The sequence below is a fragment of the Homo sapiens genome, chromosome 8, assembly GCF_000001405.40.
Source record: "Homo sapiens chromosome 8, GRCh38.p14 Primary Assembly".
Taxonomy (NCBI): Eukaryota; Metazoa; Chordata; class Mammalia; order Primates; family Hominidae; genus Homo; species Homo sapiens.
Window position 1 is genome coordinate 133,209,051 of NC_000008.11, and position 23,552 is coordinate 133,232,602.

Below are 23,552 nucleotides of genomic sequence, written 5' to 3' on the forward strand. Positions count from 1 at the left end.
GGCACAAATCCTGTGCATAGTAGGGATTCAATAATCCTCGGTCCCTAGAATGACTCAGTCATCGTGCACATCCCCAGCTAAACTGTCAGTGCTGGAGGGCGGAAACCGCCCTTGCGCCAGTCATCTGCTTTCCCTCGTGCTCACACAGAGAGGTGAGGATTGATCGATTATCACGAGTCAGGACTCACTTGTGGCCTGCAGACCCAAATCCTAGGTAAGCGTCTATGCTGGACATACCCTAGGTATGTGTCAGTGCTGGACAAGGCAGCTGGCACTCAGAGGCTCACACACCAAACCCAGCAGTCCTCATGCCCTGGGGTCCAGAGGGTTTTCCCCTGCACAGATCTTGTCCAGCACCTTCTCCTGAGTCTGGGAGATTTTCTACCACTAGATGGTGCCAATTGCAAAGGCTGGCTCAGCCGACTGCCCACAGCCCTTCCCTCCTCTGCCCAGGGATGCCATAAATGGTTCCCCTGTCCAAGGGAGGACTTCTCTGCAGCTTCCCCTCACCAGCTGTGTGCCCTGGCACCTCCAGGCACTTAGAAAGGAAGCTTCCTTCTGGGCATCTTTAACTTGGGATGGAGACAGGAGGATGGATAGTGATCCCAGGAGTGGGATACCCACCCGGTTCCAACCCATTCCAGCTCAGCTCAAAGTGTCCAGATCCCCAACTCTGTTCTGGGCACAGTGGGGTCAGGGAGGACACACAACCAAATGGGTGTAAGAGGAGACAGGCTTCTGTGTGCCATGTGACATGTGCCAGGCCCTACCTAGTGCTGCCACATCCACAATGCCCCTTCACCCTTCCAACTGCCCCCAAAGGGAGGTGAGTGTGATTGTGCCCATATCACAGATGGGAATGCTGAGGCTCAGAAAGATGAAGATGCTGTTCCAAGGCCACACGGAAAGAACGTACGTCGGACTGTCTCAGGTTGCATGTTCTTTTCTTGACACTCAAACTTAGGGCCCAGAGGAGAGGTTCCAGTACATGATGCCTTAAATATCATAGATATCCAAGCCTTTTTAGCCGACAATCCCCCATCCATCCATTTCACCAGTCAACACATATGAAGCCCTACTGTGTGCTCTGTGCTGTGTTTCAGGCGCACAGAGAGATGCAAGGCCCGGGCCCTGCCCTTTCCAAGTTCACATTCCAGTGAGCGAGGTAAGGGCAGGGAAGCCTTCCTGGAGGAGAGGGCATCTTTATTTCCTCTGCCAAGAGCACGTCCTGAGTGTGGTGGCTCTGAGAGATGGTCTGCTAGTGCTCATGAGGCTCTGAGGCTTCTAGAATCATGGCCTAACAAGGAAATGTCTCTCCCCAAAGTCAAAAAGAGGGGTGTGTGTGTGTGTGTGTGTGTGTGTGTGTGTGTGTTTACTGATTCGGATATGTAGGGTTTTCTTGCATCCTGTTGTGTTTTTGAGGAAATATGAACAAGGGCAGGCTAACTAGTGCCTCCTCGGTGAACCACCCAGAACTGCCAACCCCAAGAGCTCTCTGTTCCCTACCAGCAAGGCCTTCCAAGGCCACATCGCCCACAGAGCCTTCCTCCCTGCAGGGGGCTGCAGGCAAGATTTTTTTTGGCCATTCTGGTGTCTGTCTGGGCCATAACAGAGAAGTCACCCATATGTCCCCAGTGAAGACTGGCAATGTGCAGGCACTCTGTGGGGGCCTGCCCCATCCTGCCCTCACCCCATGGAGTTCACCGGCATTAACCTCCAAACACACACAAATGTCTAATTTCTGAGCCTGCCTAGTGGCTTAAGGGAAAGCCAGACACACGCAGGTCAGCGAGTCAGGAGAGTCCGCCCAGAGAAAGGGGCCCCAGGTGAAAAAGATAGGAAGGGCCTCTCAGCCACAGGGAACTGCATCGCAGCGGCCTTGAGGTAGGGAAAGGGTGGATTTGACCAAGTTCTGAAATCAAGCCTATGGGAGATGAAAGCTTCAAGTCGGGTTTTGTCTGTTGACTTGCAAGGGCTTTATTTATTGCATCAATATTTACTACATTTATTGTGCGCCAGGTTCAGAGCCTAGTCAGACTAATTCAGAAATTCATCTGAACCACTTTCCTCATCCCTGGTCCTTCAAGGTGCAAGAGTGGACCCCACTCTCCTGGGCAGAGCAGTTACTGCCCTGGTGTTCAGAGAGCTTCCATGCCTCCTTGGAATGCCCAGCACTTTGCGTAGTAAATCCCTCGAGTTGCAGTAAATCCCTCGAGTTGTAGTAAATCACCTCTAATACTTGCCTCTCCCATAAGCTGTGGGTTCCCCAATCATAGGGACTTTTAACGCTTATCTTCAAATATCTAAAACTTAAGAGAGACTATGAGCTAACTCTGCAAATGTCTGTTGAGTGAATGAAAGAACCCAGAAGAGGCAAAAGTAGAAGCTGTTGTAATGAGAGTTAGGAGATTAATTTGCATCTTGGCCTTGCTGTGAACTGTGTCATCCTGGGAGTGTCCATCTGTCTCTTCGGGTCTTGCCTTCCTCCCCTGTAAAGGAGGAAAGAATTTGTCTGAGTAGCTCAGCACCGGAGCCTGGTGTTCCGAGTGGAAAGCAGATCTGTGATCCCACAAAGCAGGCTCCTCTGCTTCCAGATGGAGGGAGCAGCCCAGAGCCCAGCCAGCCCCCTGTCCCAGCCCCACAGAAGCCCTGGATTCTCCTCTGCTTACTTCAGAACTCAGCCGTCAAGGACGAGAAGTGCTGGGCAGGATGATCCATGGCTTGCCCAGGAGAGGGAGGACTGACTCAAAGCCTGGCTCCCGTCCCCGCTCCTGTGTCCTCAGGCGATTCTCTTCCTCTTGCAGGCCCAGGTCTCTTTCGAGATAGAGCAAAGGGCACAGATGGGATTCAGGGGGGCAACCAGATGGGACAGCAGGTGACTGGGTGCTGGAGATACAGGCAGCTTGAAGCTCCTGCACTCAGACACCCAGGCATCTCCATCTGCCGCTCCTCAGGCCTGGGCAGCTCTTAGGGCCTTGGTTTCCCTTCCCAGCTGGCCTCTTGTGTCCATCATATTTGCCAAAATAAAGATGAAGCTGTTGACTGGGGGATGGGAATGGGGATGCTGGGGAGGAGTGCGGGTTGGTAGAGTGGAGTGTGTATGTGTTGGGTGGGGGGTCTCATTGCCCTGACAGCAAAATAAAAGGGCTCCTCCATGTAGGGCTTGTGCTGGCAAAGGAAGCGCCAACTCACTCCCCAAGGGCTGGGGCCCATGTAGCTGCCAGGAGCTATAAAGTTGAATACCTGCCGCTGCACCACGCCAGCCCTTTCCGGATGCTCAGAGGGGAAAAAAATAATAATAGGTCAGCGGGCCGAAACCGGTATTAAGTAGGAGTCCTCTGACTCAGAGAGGCCTTAAGAACTCTCGGTGAGTGAAGGAACTGGCCCTGCAGGTCGTCACAGAAGAGCCATGGGATCCGAGCCCCGCGCAGCCACATGACTCACAGCCAGCTTCCACCTGCTCAGGGCCTCGGCTTTCTCCCTGTAAAGTGAGGCCACCTCCCTTACCTCGGGGCTGCAGCGACAATCACTCAAGAAAGGAAAGGAGCAGGGTCTGAGGTGGAATTTGGGCCCCACCGCTGACCAGCGGAAGGATTCGGGCAATTGGTTTAACTTCGCTGCATGTTGGGCTCCTCTGTTCTATTTGTTTTACTGAGAATAAAGGAGATGTTTGGCTATCAAAAGCGTGATAGAAAAAATAATTTTATGAAAACCTTTTGAACAGCATGAGGACAGGAATGCAATGGCAGGGCCCTTTGGGCGTTGAAACCCCTGTCTCAGCAGCCCCCCTTTCCCTCTGCCCTCCCCCCGCAGGCCCTCTCTCCAGCCCCTACGACCATGGACTTTACCCCAGCTCCACTGGAGGACACCTCCTCACGCCCCCAATTCTGCAAGTGGCCATGTGAGTGCCCGCCATCCCCACCCCGCTGCCCGCTGGGGGTCAGCCTCATCACAGATGGCTGTGAGTGCTGTAAGATGTGCGCTCAGCAGCTTGGGGACAACTGCACGGAGGCTGCCATCTGTGACCCCCACCGGGGCCTCTACTGTGACTACAGCGGGGACCGCCCGAGGTACGCAATAGGAGTGTGTGCACGTAAGTGAGTCCTCCATACCTTCTGACCAGCCCCTGAGCACCCCCAGCTCTGGCCCCAAACCCCTCTCCCTTGGCACCCCCACAGCCTTTCACCTGGCCAGGCTTCCGTTCAGCAGGAGATACACCCCATGATCAGAGGCCAGAGGCTGGGTCCTTCCTGGGAAGGGGAGGCAAGGATGCCTGCACTCTTCTCGCCTCCAGAACTTTGCTTCTTGCTTTATTCTCAGTCCTGGAGGCACATTCATGGCTGTCCCCAGGGAAGAGGGAGACGCCATGAAATACCTAAGCCTGGTTTTGTTCTCTTAGTGGTAGGATCTTTTAACAAATGTCCATGGCCTACTAGGACACACCAGCATACTGCAGAACTCCAGATATTTTGGTAATATTGTAAATTAAAAAATATGGTTTTAAAAATCCAGTAGCCTTGAAAGAATGAAAATCAGCAGCCTGCAGTCATCCCTTCCCACCAGCTACCTACATTTCTCAGTTACTTCAGTCACTTAAATTTTCTAGTTATTTCTTCTGAAATATAATATAGTATATTATAGAAATATACTATATATTCTATATAGTATAGAAATATAATATAAAGATAATATATACACTATAAATATTATCTTTCTAATGAACTTGAAGAACAGTTTTCACAGGGGGAAATATACTACATATACACTATATATAGTAGTTAAATATACTATATATACACTATATATAGTAGTTAAATATACTATACACTATATATAGTAGTTAAATATACTATACACTATATATAGTAGTTATATATACTATATATACACTATATATAGTAGTTATATATACTATATATACACTATATATAGTAGTTATATATACTATATATACACTATATATAGTAGTTATACATACTATATATACACTATATATAGTAGTTATACATACTATATATACACTATATATAGTAGTTATATAAACTATATATAGTATATATAGTAGTTATATATAACTACTATATAACAGTAGTTATATATAACTACTATATATATATAATTGCTACTATAAAATGTATGTGTTCTGCTATATATTAATTGCCTTGATATATCAATTTTTGGATAATATATTAATATTCTAAGATAGCTGATGATTTAGCTCCTCAATAACCACCTGATATAACCCCTACCTTCCAAATGACATTGCCATAATTTTTGATTATACAATCATCAGTACTTATAATATTATGACCAGGTAAATATTGTTCACTGCAGTATGAGATCAGGAACTGGCTTTAATTCACTTCCTTATGATGCTTTTGTTTTTCCTGGACTTTCTAATGGCCTTTGCTTTTTCTTTATTCTTGGTGTATTCTGATATCCTCCTGTTTGGAGGTGGTTGTTGTTGTTGTTGTTGTTGTTAGTTGTTGTTTTCTTTGGTCTTCAAGTGCTCCATCACGGGTATTCTATCCTTTTTTGTTCCAAGACACCTCCTTTATGAAACTTTCTGACCCCCTGCTTCTGTCCGGACTTGTATTCCCTTGAATTGTGTAAGCATTACCCAAAATATATGACTCATCAGATTAAGAGAGCTACCTAGGTATTATGATGCAGCAGCCTAACTTCTGAAAACTTCCACAAAGTCTCATAAACCCAAAAACTCCCTTCTTCCCTTAGTGCTGAATCAAGCCTTCCCCTTAACTATGACTCCATATACACCCCGTCACATAGTCACACACAACGTAGTCTCTCATCCTCAGCTAACCATTATATTTTTTGAGGTGGATTGTCCATGAGGGTTATGTACATCATTTGCAGTCAGACAATTTTATTTTATCTGAACCACATGGTTAATTTATGACAGTTTCTTCTCTTTTATCATTGGTTCATGCTTCAACTTTCACACGAATCCTTGTGTCTTTGGCTTTCTGTGAATAACCATCCCACTTCTCCCATCTTTCTAATTTTTCTTCTTTTACTGAAACTCATTAGCAGCCACATAAATGGTATGTTCAAAGAGAACTTGCAGCATCCGCTGCACAGAATCATCTGATATGTTGATTATAAATGTTATTCTTGAGCCCCACCCCAGACTTGTTGAATCAGAGTCTCTGGAAGTGGGAATGAGGATCTAGTCCTTTAACAAGACTCCCAGGTGATTCTCATGCATGCTAAAGTTCAAGAATTGCTGCTAATATACTCAGTCATCTGTTCCCTCCCCATAACCCAGGTAGGGAAACCTGGCCTGGACTTCTTACACTAGAACCACCTCCAGTTATATGAGCTTGTCTCATAATTTATTCTTCCAGTAAAAACTGTTCTTCAAGGTCATTAAAAAGATACTTCTTTTCACTACCATTGCATTAATCTCTAAAGCTGTATTGAGATCTTGTCATCTGCCAGGCACCACTCATTTATAGATGTTCTGTCATGGATCCAAAGATTGTGTGAACCCAGAAACTGCCTGTCCTGCCTGCCTTCCCCACCGGTGGCCTGGAAAACCCCCTTCCCTGTCCTCCTCACCCCCTATCTCTGCATCTTAGGTCCTGCCTTGACCCAGTACAGCCACTTAACTTCCCAACACCATGGGCTTCTGTGTACTTCCTTTCCTTTTATTTGAAAAAAACAAAAACTGTAGGCTAAAGGAGATTGTAATAGATTTTACGCCTACCAGTGGTTCCCTGGTCATGAAGTTTTACAAGCATTGAGATAAATAAAGCTAACCAGGAGCTATAGAAATTCTCAGAGGCTTCAAATTTTCATGTCCATTGCCAAATTCCAAAAGAGAGGTATCATAAGCTTCATAATAAATTTTTTAGATGTATTTAATACTAAATTTTTTCAGTCAGATAGTTCCTTACCCACCCATTACACTACACACACACACACACACACACAAACACACAGTTATACATATACACATCACACACATATGTGCCCACACATGCACAAACACAACTCACTAGTGCTCTATTGAACATGTTCCCGGAAGTGCTACCATAGTGTCTGAATTCATGAGACCCTAATGCAGGAAAGAAGAGAGTGTGGGGTCTGCAAAAGAATACACCTCTGGGCCAGAGGGTAAACAGAACAAACGGTTCCTCTAAGAAACAATCTTTCCACAAATGGTCAGCTAAGCAAATGGACAGTTCCTAGGACAGGCTAAATCTGTCCTTAAAGATTTGCATGTAATTAGACCAGAACAAGGCAGGTAATAAAAATGAGCCATTGCAACCCTGGCTTATATAACTCAAACAGAGTATGATGGGGACAATGGCAATCTGGTGTGTGCAAGCCCTGGCTTTCAGAGATGACCCTACTGGGCCCAGCCACTCTGGCCAAGCAGAAAAAAGCTAGGTCTTGTTCAGCATGCTTAGTTTTCAAGAGAATCCAGGTACATAGATTTGTGTATGATTTGTAAACATTGGCAATACATTCAAAAATATTTTTAAAACCACTCTGTGGGCCAAACTAAATACATCTGTGGGCAGAGGGTGACCTCTGAGTTACATCATTTGGCTATTTCAGTTGCACAAACACTACTCTACGTTTAAATGAAGCTGGGTCAGGCCTGAGGTCAGTGTGGTTTGGTGGAAGGATTATGATATTTACAAGCTGACAGACTTGAGTTTTAGATCCTGGCTCTGCCACTTGCTAGCTACGTGACCATGTGCACATCACTTAAGGAGTGTCATAAAACCAACCTCACATGCTTGTTGCAAAATAAATAAGGAAATGTCAAAAAATAAAAATAAAAGTAATTGGCTGCTCTTGGCTTGCCTTGCAAGGAAAGTTACCTCAGTCTTATTCACGGCCACCTTTAGAGGAGGGAGCAGGTCTAGCTCCTGGCCTAGATCCCCCATACTGAAGAGTGAGGGAGTAGTAAATTCATGCATGCTCTTTGGACCTAGACAACCCAGCTGGAATCCCAGCATCATCACTCACTATTACTATGACTTTAGGCGAACTACTTAGCCTTTTAAGTCTCAGTTTCTTCTTCAAGGAAAATGTGACAAAGAAAGTTTATATCTCTGGGTGGTTAGAATGTCAAGTGCCTGCTACATGGCAGGAGCTGAATAAAGAGTACAGCTCACCCCAGTTCCCATCCATCCATCCCTCCATTGATTCTTCACACAATAAACATAAGTGAGGCAGCAAAAACAAACAGAGCTACAACAAGGCATGGCCCACTGTCCCTGCTGACAGCGTGAGCTGACAGTCCATGGGAGGTGTGAAGGGAGGGAAGGCCCCGATGGCAGAGCAAGTTGACTTGAATTCCTGAAAGTGCTTCAGTAAGAGGAAAGCTAACTCGATCACACCTGCACTTGCAGATCTGAGATTAGATAGGAGGTAGTGAAGGAAACCCAACTGTCTTCACCATCTCGCCTTTGATTAGTTAGAAACTTAATGAGTCAGCTGAAGGGACCATCTGCAGCCGTCATGCATCCCACTAGCCTGTGGTGGGCAGGCTGGTCAGAGCCAGTAGCAGCATCTCACTTCCCCACCCAAAGCCCCAAGGAGAGAGACTGGCGCGCCTTCTAGTTGCACTGGTTTTCAACCTTAGCTGCAAACAGGATTCACCTGGGGAACTTTTAAAATACGGAGATCAACAAAAGAAGAATACTGACACCCAGGTTCACCCCCATATTCTGAGGCCTGGCATGAGCATCACAATTTTTAAAAGCTCCCCAGGTTCCCCTGGGGTTCCCCTGTGCAGCTGGTAGGGAAAGCCACTGTGCTGGGGACTCCGGGCATCTAGCACTGACCTCTCCCTCCAAAGTCTCCACATGCAGGGACAGAGTTCCGGGCTTAGCCCACTCCCTTCTCCACACACACACACACACACACACACTCTTCCTGGAGAGACAGCGTGCAGGCAGAGGCAGGGTGACTCAGAATGCAAAGATGAGTGATTCACCCAGCGCTTCCTCTGCTTTTTTTGCCTTCCTCTGTCCCCTCCTTCACTGGTGTCTGGTGGCAGGAAATGGGCTGTGGAGTCAGGTCTCCTGGGTTTGAGTCCCAGCTGTATCATTCAACAGTTTCGTGACCTTGAACAAACGAATCATTTAACCTCTCTGAGAGCTTTCCTGTCCATCAAAGGAGAAAAATAAAACTCTTCATGAAGTCATTGGGAGAACTGAATGAGATAATGTATCAGATGATACCTGGCACTAGATCAGAGGGTCAGTTGATGTTAGCATCTTTCCTTTCTGCACCTCCTGCACGGATAACCGCACCCCAAAAAAAACAATAGCCGCAGCAAGGTTCACACAAACCGGGATTCTGCTTCCCGCTGTGGTCACCTTGGACGCTATGTGTCTTCACCTTGCTGAGACTTTGTTTTGCTATATATAAAGACAAAGATGATAATGTGATAGTGTTTCTGTACAGAATAAAATAAGTAATGCAATGCACAATACAGAGGAGACCCAGTATCCAATAACAGAGACAGTACTTCGAAAACCTTCATGCCTGCTAGACATTAGGATTACTGCTATTATTAACAGCCACCTTCGGGCAAACCCTGAAGGACAGAACTGTTGGCCCACTGCAGATTCCAAACTGCTTCTCCTTGGGTGGCCACTCATGATGTCCGGGGCTCTTTACCTGCATTTCCAGAAGCTGTCCTCCAGAGAGAGCATGGTATCAAGGGTGATATCTGGTCCAGAAGTCCCCAACTCTCCCTGACTCCAAACTGGCTTAACTAACTCCACATGGCCACTTGGTTGTCAACCAGCCATCTCACGCATAATGGAGAACACTTGAGTCCACCCAACCCAAACCCTGCTTGTCCAAAGAGGACAGAGCATCTTCCTCCTTCTCGACTCCTCTCCTTTCCCCCGCACAGCCCCTCTGTCAGTAAGTCCTGGCAGCTCTCCTTCCAAATCTGTCTGGAAGCCGAGCTCTTCTCTTTCTGGCTTCAGACCGCTCTCTCCCACCTGGGTCTCAGGGTGGTCCCCCATGCTACCTTTGCCCTCTGACTCAGCACCGTGAGTGTTCTCATGTCCTCAACTCAGCACCATGAGTGTTCTTGCAAAGCATACTTTTCATCATTCATTCAGCAGTTGCTTACTGAGCACCTACTATGTGCTAGGCTCTAACAGCTTTGCACTTCCTCTGAGCCTACAAGGAAGCCTTCTCGGACCTCCTCTCCTTCCCTTTTCCTTCTTGTCTCCCCTCCTCAGACCTCTCCCACAGCCCAGGCTTGCTCCCACCTGTGGTCTTTTTACTTAAGTGGGCCCCTCCCTACCTGGAAAGCTCCTCCCCCAACCCCTGGGCGGGCTTCCTTCCTCACCTCCTTCAGGCTTTGCTGAGCGTCATCACCCAGTGAGGCCTTCCCCATCCACCTGATTTAACCCTATTCCCAGTTGCGCTGAGAATACTCACCAGCAGCACTAGAGGCTGCAGCATTTACCCCAAAATAATTTTGCCACAAAATATCTCACTTTTGTTACTCTATTCACATCATTCTAGAATACCAACTTTGAAAAACAAAAGATATCATTCTATTTACAGCATTGTGTTTTTTTAGGAGTGGTATTTCCATTTACAAAATATAGTAATTCTCGATCACTGAAAATGTCAAATCCTAGAAAACCCAGCATTCCTATGCATAATTGTTCTTCAACAGTTGGCTGGGATTCACTTGATGAATCTGATTTTTCTGAAATAGATTATTCTGATGATTCAGACAATTCTGATGTTAGTTCTGTTTAGAAAGAACTCCAAGAAACAGTTTTTATATTTTATTTTTACATGGAAAATCAGTCAGATTTGCTTTAACCTCAAAAAGTGTGTTTATGTAAAATTAAATGAGCTCTGGCAGCTAGCTGAACATTTTTTTCTAAACAGGGAAAGGGTTATTAATAAATTTGCAACTGTCTCCCCCCGCCCAACTCCCCCTCCCTGCTCCACTTTTCTCCCAGACACTTGTAACTGCCAACATTCCATATGACCTTTCCACAGCATAAGCTCTTTGAGGGCATGTCTTTTGTCTGTTTTGTCCACTATTGAGTCCCCAGCACATAGAAGGCTCCATGAATGTGTATGGAATGAATGGAACACGTGTTTCGAAGTGTTCTGGCTTTTTTTTTACAAGTCGGTCACCTTCAGAACCATGAGCCCTAATGGCAGGTCTTTGTCAGTACCAGGCTTTGTGCCTGGTGCTGGGGACCCTGCAGGGAGCAAACCAGCCAAGTCCCTCGGGAGGCTGCGTCCTTCCACTCCCTGGGTGCTGGCTGAAGCTATAAAGGAACTCCTGCACTCCCTTTGCTGAAGTTCCACCAAACACTCAGCCCTGCCCTGTGCACTCTCACACCTCCCTGCCTTTGCCTTTGTGCCTCTGTTCCTCCTCCATGCTGGGAGCCATCCCCGGGATTGGGGCATGGTCCACATGGAGCCCCTATAAAGGCAGCTGGGCCAGCCAGGGGCACCAAGGCCACTGGGCCTGACCGGCCACCTGTGTTTGCAGAGGTGGTCGGTGTGGGCTGCGTCCTGGATGGGGTGCGCTACAACAACGGCCAGTCCTTCCAGCCTAACTGCAAGTACAACTGCACGTGCATCGACGGCGCGGTGGGCTGCACACCACTGTGCCTCCGAGTGCGCCCCCCGCGTCTCTGGTGCCCCCACCCGCGGCGCGTGAGCATACCTGGCCACTGCTGTGAGCAGTGGGTATGTGAGGACGACGCCAAGAGGCCACGCAAGACCGCACCCCGTGACACAGGAGCCTTCGGTGGGTGTGGGCCCGAGTGGGCTGGGGGTGGGACCCTACAAATGGGTTGTGGACCCTCCTGGAACTCTGACCACCATAGAATGACTCATTCCCCAGTCCACTACCTACTAGCTTTGTGACCTTGAGAAAGTCATACCTCCCCTGAGACCCTATTTCCCCATCTGTAAAACAGAAATAATCCCATCTGTCTAGTCTGTCCTGTGGGATCCTCCCAGCATAAAATGAGGAGTGCTTTGTAAAGAACAAAGCCCTAAAAGTGCAATCCATTATTATCCTACTAAAGAGTTAGGGATGGGTGGTGGAAGAAGGGTAGGTATGTGGGTACCTGAGGAGAGGAGGTATGAGCAAGAGGAGATGGGTCTAGTAGAAGCTTCATGATGATTTGGGGCTTCCCCCTTGCTATGAAGATGGGTGGGCAGGTGAGATTTCAGCCAGGTAAACCAGATAAGAGGAAGCCCTGGAAAAGAAGAGTGGGGACAGGCCCAATTGTTTCACTGCTGCTTACTGGAATCTAGCCCAGTGCCATACACTTAGCAGGTATCCAATTAATGTTTGTCATACTGATGGGTGGGCAGATGGATGGATGAAGAATAGATAGATGGGCGGGTGGATGGATGGATGGATGGATTGGTGAAGAGATGGATGGATAAATAGATGAATGTATAAATAGATGAGTGGATGGATAGATGACGGATGAATAGGTGGATGATGGATGGATGGAAGGATGATGAATGAATGGGTGGATTAATAGATGGATGGATAAATGGATGTATGAATAGATGGGTGGATTGATGAGTGGATAGATGAATTGATGGATAGGTGTATAAATAGATAGATGGGTGAGTAGATGGGTGGATAGATGAATAGACAGATGAATGTATGAATGGATGGATGGATGGATATATGTATAAATAACTAGATGAGTGGACAGGTGGATGGATGAATGGATGGATGGATGAATTGATAAATGGACAGATGGATGAATAGATAGATGGATTTATAAAAAATTGGATGATTGGATGGATAGATGATGGACAAATAGGTGAATGATGGATGGGTCAATTAATGGATGGATGGAGGATGGATGGATGGATGGATGGATAGATGTATAAATAAGTAGACGAGGGGACAGATGGATGGATGAATGGATGGATGGATGGATGAATGGATGAACTGAATGGATGGGTGGATGAATAGGTAGATAGATGTATAAATAAATGGATGATTGGATGGATAGATGACGGACAAATAGGTGAATGATGGATGGATCAATTAATGGATGGATGGATGGAGGATGGATGGATGGATGAATGGGTGGGTAGGTGGATAGATGGATGGGCTAATGAGGATCTGAACTAGGGCAGTGGGAGTAGAGGCAGTGAAGAAGGAACAGACACAAGAGGCATTGCTTGAGTAAGACTGAAGGTCTTAATGTCAATCTAATGCATGGGGTGAAGAAGAAAGAGGGACAGAGGCTGACTCCCAGGGCTTGTCATTGCCTAGGATCAAATACAAGAGAAGGAGCACATTTGGGCCAAGGGAGATCTACTCTGTTTGAAACAGACTGAGTTTAAGGCAGAGTGCCCTGCCCACGGGATCTTAAGAGAAGCTTCCAGTTTCTCTTTATGGGGAGGAAGGAGACGAAATAGGAGAGCTCTGAAGTCATCTGCTTGGAGCTGCTGGTGGTGATGGCTGGGATGGCCTGAGGGTAACATCCACAGTGAGACAGAGGGGGCCTGAGGCAGAGGTCTGGGAATGCTGACATGTGAAGGGTGAGCAGAATAAGAGGAGGCATGGGGAAACAGAGAGGAGGGTTGGGATGTATGAAGAAAACCAGGAGCATCTGATGCCATGGCAGGCAGCAGATGAGGACATTTCTAGAGGAAAGTGCTTACGAGGCAAGCAGTAGAGAGCAGTAGAAAAATGGCAATAGAGTGGGAGTTCTAAGAGTATTGGTAGTTTTTTTAAAAAAAATTATATATGCTAAAGATTGCTCAGGGACGGTGTGGGGCAGGTTTCTCAAGCTCGGCACTGTCAACATCTTGGATGAAGGAATTCTTTGTGGTGGGGTTGTCATGTGCACTGGAGGATGTTTAGTAGCAATCTAATGCATGACTACTAAATCCCAGCAATCTAATCCCTGGCCTCTACCCACTAGATGCCAGAAGCGCCCGCTCCCTCAGAGATGTGACAACCAAAATCATCTCCAGACCTTTCCAAATACACCCTAGGAGACAAAATTGCTCGGTGGAGAAGCAGTCCTGTGAGGATAGGAGGAGGCGTGGAGGAAAGCTTTGTCCCCAGCAGCCCCAGGGCAGCAAGGCAGCTCTCCCACCACCACCTCCCCAGGAGGGCCACACGAGGGTCACGGGGGGAGCAGGGAGGCAGAAGCTGTCTGCCATTGTGTCTGGCCCAGTGACCCTGTTCTGACCGAGCACAAGCGGAGCCCCTGCCTAGCCGAGGTGACCCAAAAACCAAAGCCTCTTTATCCTCCTGGGCAATTCCCTCCCCACCACCTCCCAAGATGCTTGCAGCTCCAGCTCCTGTCAGCCCTGCCCCTCCTGTCCTTGGATGCCTCCCATTTCAGGTCTTTCCCTCTCTCACTCAGTGATTCCTGCATTCATTCATCAATGTTCCCAGCACACCTATAAGCTTAGAGGAACTGACTTACCTTTCCTCTTTATCCTTCTAATCCTAGTTAGATTTCTCTTCTTTTCTGTGTTTATCTTTTTGCCTCTCTTTCCCTCCCTTCATTCTTTTTATTACTTTTATTACCTTCCTCCTGTTTCTTTCTCTCTCTCACACACACACACGCTTTTTCTCTCTCCTCCTCTCCTTCTTTCTCTCTCTTTTCTCTGAGCTTCCATCTGTCTTTCCATCCCTTCCCTGTCTGCCTGTTCCCTCCTCTCCTCATGCACATGTGTGTTTGGATGGGACAGGCCTCCTCTCCACTGCATCTTGTTCCATCTTTCTGTGGGCAGTTCTGTCTTAACAGCTTTTAACCTGCTTTGGTCTCGAGCTCACCACCATTTTCCGTTTTTCAGATAGTTAGAGAGCACTTACTATCTTCTAGATGCGGGAGATACATGCATCAATAGGAACATCCAAGAGTGGGTAGTTGAGTTGGCTGACAGTCAAATGACCACACAGACTCACATTAACTAAGGGCTTTAGCTTACTAAAGGCCAGGGACAGCCTGGGTGCTTTCATAGGCGTGAAGTCATCTTTTCTATCATGGCACTAGAAAGAGATGCTATAGCCAACCCCATGTGCAGGTGGGGATCCTGAGGCAAGGAGGTGTGAGCTAGCTTATTGGAAGTTACATAGCCAGCAAGTAGCAGTGCTGCCAGTTGAACCCTGGTGATTTGAATTTGAAGCCCGTAAGTCCTTTTTTTTTTTTTTTTTTTTTTTTTTTTTGAGACAGAATCCTGCTTTTTAGACCAGGCTGGAGTGCACGGGCACGATCTTGGCTCACTGCAACCTCTACCTCCCAGATCAAGCAATTCTTGTGACTAAACCTCCTGAGTAGCTGGGATTACAGCACATGCCACCATGCCCGGTTAATTTGTGTATTTTTTAGTAGAGATGGGGTTTCAACATGTTAGCTAGGCTAGTCTCAAACTCCTGACCTCAAGTGATCCACCTGCTTTGGCCTCCCAAAGAAGCCTGTGTGCCCTCTTACCCACTATGCCCTCGGCATCACTGCGACAAAATGTTAGGTGCTGGCATGTAGCTACTTGCCTTTGAACTTCCCCCAAATAAACTTTCTCTCTGCAGAGGCAGGAGAATGTCTTTTAAAACTCTTATTCCTGGTCAGGCGTGGTGGCTTATGCCTGTAATCCCAACACTTTGGAAGGCTGAGGCGGGTGGATCACCTGAGGTCAGGAGTTTGAGACCAGCCTGACCAACATGGTGAAACCTCATCTCTACTAAAAATACAAAATTAGCCGGGCATGGTGGCCCATGCCTGTAATCTCAGCTACTTGGGAGGCTGAGGCAGGAGAATAACTTAAAACCCAGGAGGCGGAGGTTGCAGTGAGCTGAGATTGTGCCATTGCACTCCAGCCTAGGCAACAAGAGTGAAACTCTGTCTCAAAAAAAAAAAAAAAAGTCCCATTCCCAGCACCTAGCAAGATGATTGATGCATACTCAGTAAAAATCTAGGCCTTATTATTGTGTTGCCAGCCGCACAGGCAGGTGTTATTGTTCTAATAGGGAGACAGGCCCAGGGTGGGTTATCTAAGATCACACAGCTTGTAGGTGGTAGAGCAGAATTTGAACTGGGATCCACCTGTCTCTAAAGATGGGTTTCCTCCCATGCTTCCACACTGCCTCTCTTGATCAGAAACATACAAGGAGCTGAGAACATGTCCTCCACTCCCTGGGTACCTTTGCTGGTTAGAAGCCAACTTGCTGTCCTGTGGGGAGGTACAGCCAATTTCTGTGTTCCTCTGAGTTCTGGGGACCGCAGACCTTAGTGTGGTGAAAGTGAGGGTTGGGGGCTGGTGGGAGCTGTAGATTCATGCAGATTCTGTTCCCCACACACAGATGCTGTGGGTGAGGTGGAGGCATGGCACAGGAACTGCATAGCCTACACAAGCCCCTGGAGCCCTTGCTCCACCAGCTGCGGCCTGGGGGTCTCCACTCGGATCTCCAATGTTAACGCCCAGTGCTGGCCTGAGCAAGAGAGCCGCCTCTGCAACTTGCGGCCATGCGATGTGGACATCCATACACTCATTAAGGTGGGTCCAGAGCAGGTGTGGATGTCTAGACTTCACAAGCAGACAAATATGGGTTTGAGCCTGGCTCCTGAACTTCCTCGTGGGGAGCATTTGTAAAGTGGGAATAGTTAAGCTCACCTGGTAGGTCTGGTGTAACAGCTATTTCGGATAATGCAGGTCACCAGATTGGTGCATTGTGAATTTCAGTCAATGGAAGCTTTGGTAGGTATCATATTATTAGAATCAGGATCACTCCAGAGAAACCTCAGAGACCCTCAGGAGTGGTCTTCTATAATGATTCTGAGGGATCCTTACCAATTTCCATCCTCCCTTCACTCCTGTGCCAGCCCACCCCCACACAGCAGCCACACTGGGTGATATAGAGAGCACTAAATGAGGCTCAGGACCCCTAGAGTCAAATGTCTGCTTGCATTAATTGCATGTGACTGTGGCCAATCTCTGCTCATCACTGAGCCCCCATTCCCTCATCATTAACATATTGGAGTTGATCTCTGAAATCCCTTTCAGCTTTAAGAGTCCAAGATAATTAAAATAAAGCATCAAAGAAAATTGGGCCACATTAGTTTGAGCCCCAGTCTCAGAGTTAAAAGTGGATCTGATTTATCTAATTCAAGTCCTCCTCACTCATGCCTTAGGAGTGGTCAGCCTTTTGTCACAGGAAAAACAAAGCAAAACAAAAAATTCAACAGTTATTCCATTTTTGGAATGCTGATGGTTTCTTAGGGATGTTGAGGACAGGGTTGCCTCCCATGTAGAAAAGACAGCACAGCTTCCTGTGATCCTCTTCAGACATCCAACATCACTCCTCATCCCCTAGACACCTTCTCCAGTCATCTATATATTGATCAACTGGATCCATTTTTCTTCTTCCTTCTCCTTCTTCTCTTCTTTCTTCTTCCTCTCTGATTATTTTTCCCTGTAATACTAGCTTTTGTATTTTCTGCGCTTGGTATACAGTAAGCATTCCATAGACATCTCTTAACTGAAAACGTACATGGAAAAGGTACCAGCTGCAGAGGAATGACAGCAAAGGTCGTTAGCTGAGTGAGATGGCTCTACCATTACTGGACCACGTAATGCAAGTCCAAGCCAATTTTGATTTCCAACCAATTTTTTTCCAGAATTATGTGCCCTCAGAGGGTTTCCCAAATTGGGCAAGCTTCATGCCGCCATACAGCCTAGATCTAGCATACTATTTACACAGTAGACCCTGAGAACCCTCAATCCAATGGGTTTAGTAAGTGCCTACTCTGTACTAGGCATGGAATTATACCACAGAAACACAGAAAGAACAGTAAATCTCAAGTGGCCCATAGCCCAGTGGAAGGTAGCGTTACCTTTAATGTCAACCATTTGAATACGTTGAATACTAAAGGTATGTGTGAAAGGCCACGAGAGGCAAAGGCAGGAGGGGCGGTTAGGGCAAAGCGTGTCCCCTGAGTGTGGAGTCCCGATGCCAGTTCTGCCACTAGCTAGCCAGGGGAACTTGCTTGGATGAAGGAGCTACATAGGCTCCCCATGTTGGTGAAACCATGATGAATGACTGGCCATAGGCAAGACAAAAATGCAGGACAAAAGAGAAACTGCAGGCTGTGAGATACAACCCAAACAAAACATTTTTCTCTGTGGTCCTCCATTTACCCCTGTGCGGTATGCTGGATCTCACTGTGTTTGCTGTTGTCCCTCCTTGCTTGAGGATGCTGTGAAGCTGAAAGTAAGGTGGAATGCTCCCACATAGTGAGAAGGGAAAAACTGGGGGCTCAGGGGAAGAAGGTGGTTGTCCATTCTCTGAGCACTCCCACTGAAAGCTCCTTTCCTTTCCTTCAGGCAGGGAAGAAGTGTCTGGCTGTGTACCAGCCAGAGGCATCCATGAACTTCACACTTGCGGGCTGCATCAGCACACGCTCCTATCAACCCAAGTACTGTGGAGTTTGCATGGACAATAGGTGCTGCATCCCCTACAAGTCTAAGACTATCGACGTGTCCTTCCAGTGTCCTGATGGGCTTGGCTTCTCCCGCCAGGTCCTATGGATTAATGCCTGCTTCTGTAACCTGAGCTGTAGGAATCCCAATGACATCTTTGCTGACTTGGAATCCTACCCTGACTTCTCAGAAATTGCCAACTAGGCAGGCACAAATCTTGGGTCTTGGGGACTAACCCAATGCCTGTGAAGCAGTCAGCCCTTATGGCCAATAACTTTTCACCAATGAGCCTTAGTTACCCTGATCTGGACCCTTGGCCTCCATTTCTGTCTCTAACCATTCAAATGACGCCTGATGGTGCTGCTCAGGCCCATGCTATGAGTTTTCTCCTTGATATCATTCAGCATCTACTCTAAAGAAAAATGCCTGTCTCTAGCTGTTCTGGACTACACCCAAGCCTGATCCAGCCTTTCCAAGTCACTAGAAGTCCTGCTGGATCTTGCCTAAATCCCAAGAAATGGAATCAGGTAGACTTTTAATATCACTAATTTCTTCTTTAGATGCCAAACCACAAGACTCTTTGGGTCCATTCAGATGAATAGATGGAATTTGGAACAATAGAATAATCTATTATTTGGAGCCTGCCAAGAGGTACTGTAATGGGTAATTCTGACGTCAGCGCACCAAAACTATCCTGATTCCAAATATGTATGCACCTCAAGGTCATCAAACATTTGCCAAGTGAGTTGAATAGTTGCTTAATTTTGATTTTTAATGGAAAGTTGTATCCATTAACCTGGGCATTGTTGAGGTTAAGTTTCTCTTCACCCCTACACTGTGAAGGGTACAGATTAGGTTTGTCCCAGTCAGAAATAAAATTTGATAAACATTCCTGTTGATGGGAAAAGCCCCCAGTTAATACTCCAGAGACAGGGAAAGGTCAGCCCGTTTCAGAAGGACCAATTGACTCTCACACTGAATCAGCTGCTGACTGGCAGGGCTTTGGGCAGTTGGCCAGGCTCTTCCTTGAATCTTCTCCCTTGTCCTGCTTGGGGTTCATAGGAATTGGTAAGGCCTCTGGACTGGCCTGTCTGGCCCCTGAGAGTGGTGCCCTGGAACACTCCTCTACTCTTACAGAGCCTTGAGAGACCCAGCTGCAGACCATGCCAGACCCACTGAAATGACCAAGACAGGTTCAGGTAGGGGTGTGGGTCAAACCAAGAAGTGGGTGCCCTTGGTAGCAGCCTGGGGTGACCTCTAGAGCTGGAGGCTGTGGGACTCCAGGGGCCCCCGTGTTCAGGACACATCTATTGCAGAGACTCATTTCACAGCCTTTCGTTCTGCTGACCAAATGGCCAGTTTTCTGGTAGGAAGATGGAGGTTTACCGGTTGTTTAGAAACAGAAATAGACTTAATAAAGGTTTAAAGCTGAAGAGGTTGAAGCTAAAAGGAAAAGGTTGTTGTTAATGAATATCAGGCTATTATTTATTGTATTAGGAAAATATAATATTTACTGTTAGAATTCTTTTATTTAGGGCCTTTTCTGTGCCAGACATTGCTCTCAGTGCTTTGCATGTATTAGCTCACTGAATCTTCACGACAATGTTGAGAAGTTCCCATTATTATTTCTGTTCTTACAAATGTGAAACGGAAGCTCATAGAGGTGAGAAAACTCAACCAGAGTCACCCAGTTGGTGACTGGGAAAGTTAGGATTCAGATCGAAATTGGACTGTCTTTATAACCCATATTTTCCCCCTGTTTTTAGAGCTTCCAAATGTGTCAGAATAGGAAAACATTGCAATAAATGGCTTGATTTTTTAATGTCATTTTTCCCTCTTATAGTCTTTCTAGCTCCTTTTCAAAAGACGAGAATATCTGATTTTCTGATAATTTAGGTGCTTAAGCATCCAAAATACATGGGACACACAAAAATCCAGGAATCCCCTGTAGCTTATTCCCTCTTTCCCATCGGAACCAGCTCTCATCACACATTTAAAAGATGATTCTGTTTACCCAATGCTGCATATTGAATGTTGTGTAGTTATTCACAGGGAATTCTGTGCAGTGTGCAGAGAGATTCCTAAACGGGAAAAGGACTGGGAATACATCCTCCTTACTGTGACCTCCCCAAAACCTAGTCCAGTGCAAGGTATACAGTGGTGCTCATTAAATACTTGATGAATACAGGAAGCTGTGCATGTGTTCCTACTTTTATTCGAAGCTCTCTTCTTCCAAAGCTACATGAAAATAGAATTTTAACAGTCAAAATTTTATATTAAGTGCCTTAGCAAAAGAGACATTTAATATTTCAAAGAAATGCATATGTATGTATACATATATTTGTGTATGCGTATGCAAGAATTCTTGTATAAAGAGAATTCACTCCATGAATGATCTCTTCTGTAAGTCAGTGTGAATCATGTTAGATTTTCTGAGAGTGAAAACACCTGCCATCTACAAATTACAAGGCTGGATAACAGCTCACTCCATTTGAAATTCAGTGGAAACCCAAGAGCTAGGTTCTTACTGAATTTGCATCTCAATTTGGGAAACTGAACTTAGCTTTCAAAGATCATAGGAAGTCTGGTTGGAGAAACTAGGGATTATTCTGGCAATGGGTGCAGGAAGGTGGTCAGAATAACCCAGTCGCCATTGGTTTTGAGAAACGGAACTATCTTATGCAGAGCCCGGAGGGCAAGTCTCAGACCCATGGGTTGAAGCCATGGAGAAGGAAATTTGGATCCAATGTAATGAAGCGCTTTCTAAGTCAGAATTTCCCTGCAATGGTGTGGCCTGATTCAATAAAAATTAAGAATAATAAATATAATGGAAAAAAATCTCCACTGATTGAGTGTTTACTTGGTGCCAAGCACTATGCTAAGTTGTTCATTATTTTATTTAATTGTTACAGCAATTTTGAGTATGCATCTTTCACTATTTTATAAGTGGAAAAGAGAAGTGCCCCCAAAAAGTTAGAGCTCAAACAGCAGCTTATTCTACCAGCCCCTGCTCTTGCGGAGGCCTCTGGAAAAGACCTGAATGACACCTATTGGAGAATTACATCTACAAGGGGCTTCAAACAGACCAAATAGATCATCACCTCTGTGGTCCCTTGTTAACTATATGTTCTGAGACAAAGGAAAGCTACCCTAAGGGTTAGTTAACCTTTGCTGAGGAAATTTACATTCATACTTAGAGTGAATTACTCAGGTGTGCTTAGGTGTGCAAAAGGGAAGGAGACCTGAATTCACCAAGTTAAATCTTGCTAAACCTTATCATAAGCATTTTTTGAGCGCTTAGCATACACCAAGCCTTGTGGAAGGTGCTTTCCTGCCATATCTCATTTAATCCTCACAGCAAACCTATAGAATATGGCATTATCATCTGAGTCTCACAGAAGTTTAGTCGTGTACTCAAGGTCTTACCAGCTAGTGAACAGCAGACCAAGACTGGAAACCCAGGATAGTCTGATACCTGAGCCATCTCTTCTTGTGCTACGCCTAGTTATTCTGTCCCCCAAATCAAAAGGCATGACCTTTATAAGAGGCGCTTTACTGACAATAGCTGCAATTTTAACTTTGAAAATGATTCAGAATTATCAAAGATAGTAGATTCGAATGACATGATTGTCTATAATCTCGCTAGCCTTGTACTGTGTGTGCATAGCAATTACAGGGAAGTAATCTAGCTCCTGACTATTATGTTGAACTATGTCGCTGCTTTTTACAAACTTGTCTTGATCCAAAGCAGTCACAATGATAACCCTGCATATCTGGGAATCATAAGTCAACTATGTATCCCTGTGTGTGTATATATATGTATGTATGTATCTATTTTCAAACTGTGATTTAATATTTAAATATTCCTACTGCCATTTTTGTGACTGAAAAACTACACATGAGGAAACGTCTTAGAATTTTCCAATAGAGGAAAAATAACACTTGGGCAATCTGTCATGTTTCACAACAGTTCTCATTTTTCTCATGATTTGTGTAGCGTGGAATGTGTTTGCTCAATGTGAAGGGTTTTCATTGCTCAATTTCTCTGTGTAAGTCTTTTCCTTAAGGTAATAAACCATCAGCAAAGTCACATACTGGAGTTGGTGGCTTTTCTTGTACAGGCAGTTGTTATGAGACAATGATGGAGCATTGAGCATGTTCAATAAATGTGCAGATGGTGGAAACGAGGTCCCAGATACTTTATATACTGAAATTAAAATGGCTAAAAAAGTTTGGAAATGGGCTTAGAAACACAAATTTTAGAACTCAGAGAAGACAAGGGCTGCCAATGTATCCAGGCTGGAAGACACCTCATGTAAATATAAAATGAAATTTTTGGCATTCATTCATTCACTTACTCACATATTCACTGTCTGTCTACATCCCCAGCGAGACTGAGTATCATGAGGTCAGGGACTGTAACTGCGTCCTCTGAGCCTAGCTCAGAAGCAGGCGCATGTCAAGAACTGAGTAAGCAAGGACTGGATGGATGGACAGAGTATCTATTGCCAGCTGCCTCAGGAAACAAGAGGAGGAAAAAGAAGCCTAAGGGAGGGTACAGATGCAATGGAAACAATCCTGACTTTGGGCCTCAAGTGGATCTTGATATACCTTTTTCCTGACTAGGCCCATCTGAGCCTCAGTTTCTCCAGCTGTGAGATGTAGAAAATGATAGTACCTACCCCTCAGTGGGATGCGTATTGCATACAAAATTTTAAAATAGAACTTAGAATACTAAGCACTTAATAAACTTAGAACATTAAACACTTACTAAATACATCTACTATTAGCTGAGTTTCTTCATAAACTGGAGGTAATCAGCAAGGCAACAGTAAGAATTAATGTCAACGTGTGTGTTTGTATATTTACTTTACGTAGCCCTTATTTAAAATAGCAAATGTAAAGAAAACTATCTGTACTCAGTTATAGTGTCACTATCTATACTCAGTTGAATGCTCTTTTACCTCAACCATAGACTGCTTAGCCCCTTAAATTTTTGCTTTTTATGTTTTCATTTTATGCTGTAACTTGATTTGAAACCCAGCTTCTCTAAAGCAGGAAGGGTGTGTTATACTTTTCTGTGTCTCCCAAGCCCA

At 45.8% G+C, this 23,552-nt stretch overlaps 1 protein-coding gene and 1 long non-coding RNA gene across 10 annotated transcripts in view, besides 4 other annotated features; one reads left to right on the forward strand and one right to left on the reverse strand.

Moving 5' to 3' along the window:
* Positions 1 to 22,640, forward strand: part of CCN4 (cellular communication network factor 4) — a 40,652-nt gene extending 18,012 nt beyond the window's left edge. The window contains exons 2-5 of one of the 8 annotated variants that reach the window (NM_003882.4): positions 3,814 to 4,093; positions 11,531 to 11,791; positions 16,340 to 16,533; positions 18,361 to 22,640. In NM_003882.4, the coding sequence (NP_003873.1) occupies positions 3,814 to 4,093; positions 11,531 to 11,791; positions 16,340 to 16,533; positions 18,361 to 18,660 (1,035 nt within the window). In that variant the 3' untranslated portion in view covers positions 18,661 to 22,640. Of the gene's footprint in view, positions 1 to 3,813; positions 4,094 to 11,530; positions 11,792 to 15,844; positions 16,220 to 16,339; positions 16,534 to 18,360 lie in introns of those variants that run through there. The other 7 variants (XM_024447319.2, NM_080838.3, XM_047422392.1 and 4 more) reach the window with 7 other exon arrangements.
* On the reverse strand, positions 1,953 to 3,937 carry LOC102723635 (uncharacterized). Of its 2 annotated transcripts, none has more exons than XR_428405.3 (3): positions 3,849 to 3,937; positions 2,670 to 2,814; positions 1,953 to 2,489 (listed from the first exon to the last, which is right to left on the reverse strand). It is a non-coding gene; the product is annotated as an uncharacterized LOC102723635 (long non-coding RNA). The 2 variants fall into 2 exon arrangements; XR_928668.3 differs by lacking the exon at positions 3,849 to 3,937 and adding an exon at positions 3,244 to 3,325.
* Positions 2,726 to 3,925: an enhancer, noted in NCBI's record as "P300/CBP strongly-dependent group 1 enhancer chr8:134224019-134225218 (GRCh37/hg19 assembly coordinates)". NCBI's record gives its function as "activates an origin of replication core promoter dependent on BRD2, BRD4, P300/CBP, MED14 and CDK7 cofactors, with strong dependence on P300/CBP, by STARR-seq in HCT116 cells {active_cell/tissue: HCT116}" and the evidence as "EXISTENCE:reporter gene assay evidence [ECO:0000049][PMID:35650434]".
* Positions 7,554 to 7,643: a silencer, noted in NCBI's record as "silent region_19560". NCBI's record gives its function as "represses an Ori minimal core promoter by ATAC-STARR-seq in GM12878 lymphoblastoid cells {active_cell/tissue: GM12878}" and the evidence as "EXISTENCE:reporter gene assay evidence [ECO:0000049][PMID:35858748]".
* Positions 8,653 to 9,852: an enhancer, noted in NCBI's record as "P300/CBP strongly-dependent group 1 enhancer chr8:134229946-134231145 (GRCh37/hg19 assembly coordinates)". NCBI's record gives its function as "activates an origin of replication core promoter dependent on BRD2, BRD4, P300/CBP, MED14 and CDK7 cofactors, with strong dependence on P300/CBP, by STARR-seq in HCT116 cells {active_cell/tissue: HCT116}" and the evidence as "EXISTENCE:reporter gene assay evidence [ECO:0000049][PMID:35650434]".
* Positions 13,688 to 14,189: an enhancer, noted in NCBI's record as "H3K4me1 hESC enhancer chr8:134234981-134235482 (GRCh37/hg19 assembly coordinates)". NCBI's record gives its function as "activates a minimal SCP1, AML or CMV promoter by ChIP-STARR-seq in naive H9 embryonic stem cells {active_cell/tissue: H9 hESC(naive)}" and the evidence as "EXISTENCE:reporter gene assay evidence [ECO:0000049][PMID:30033119]".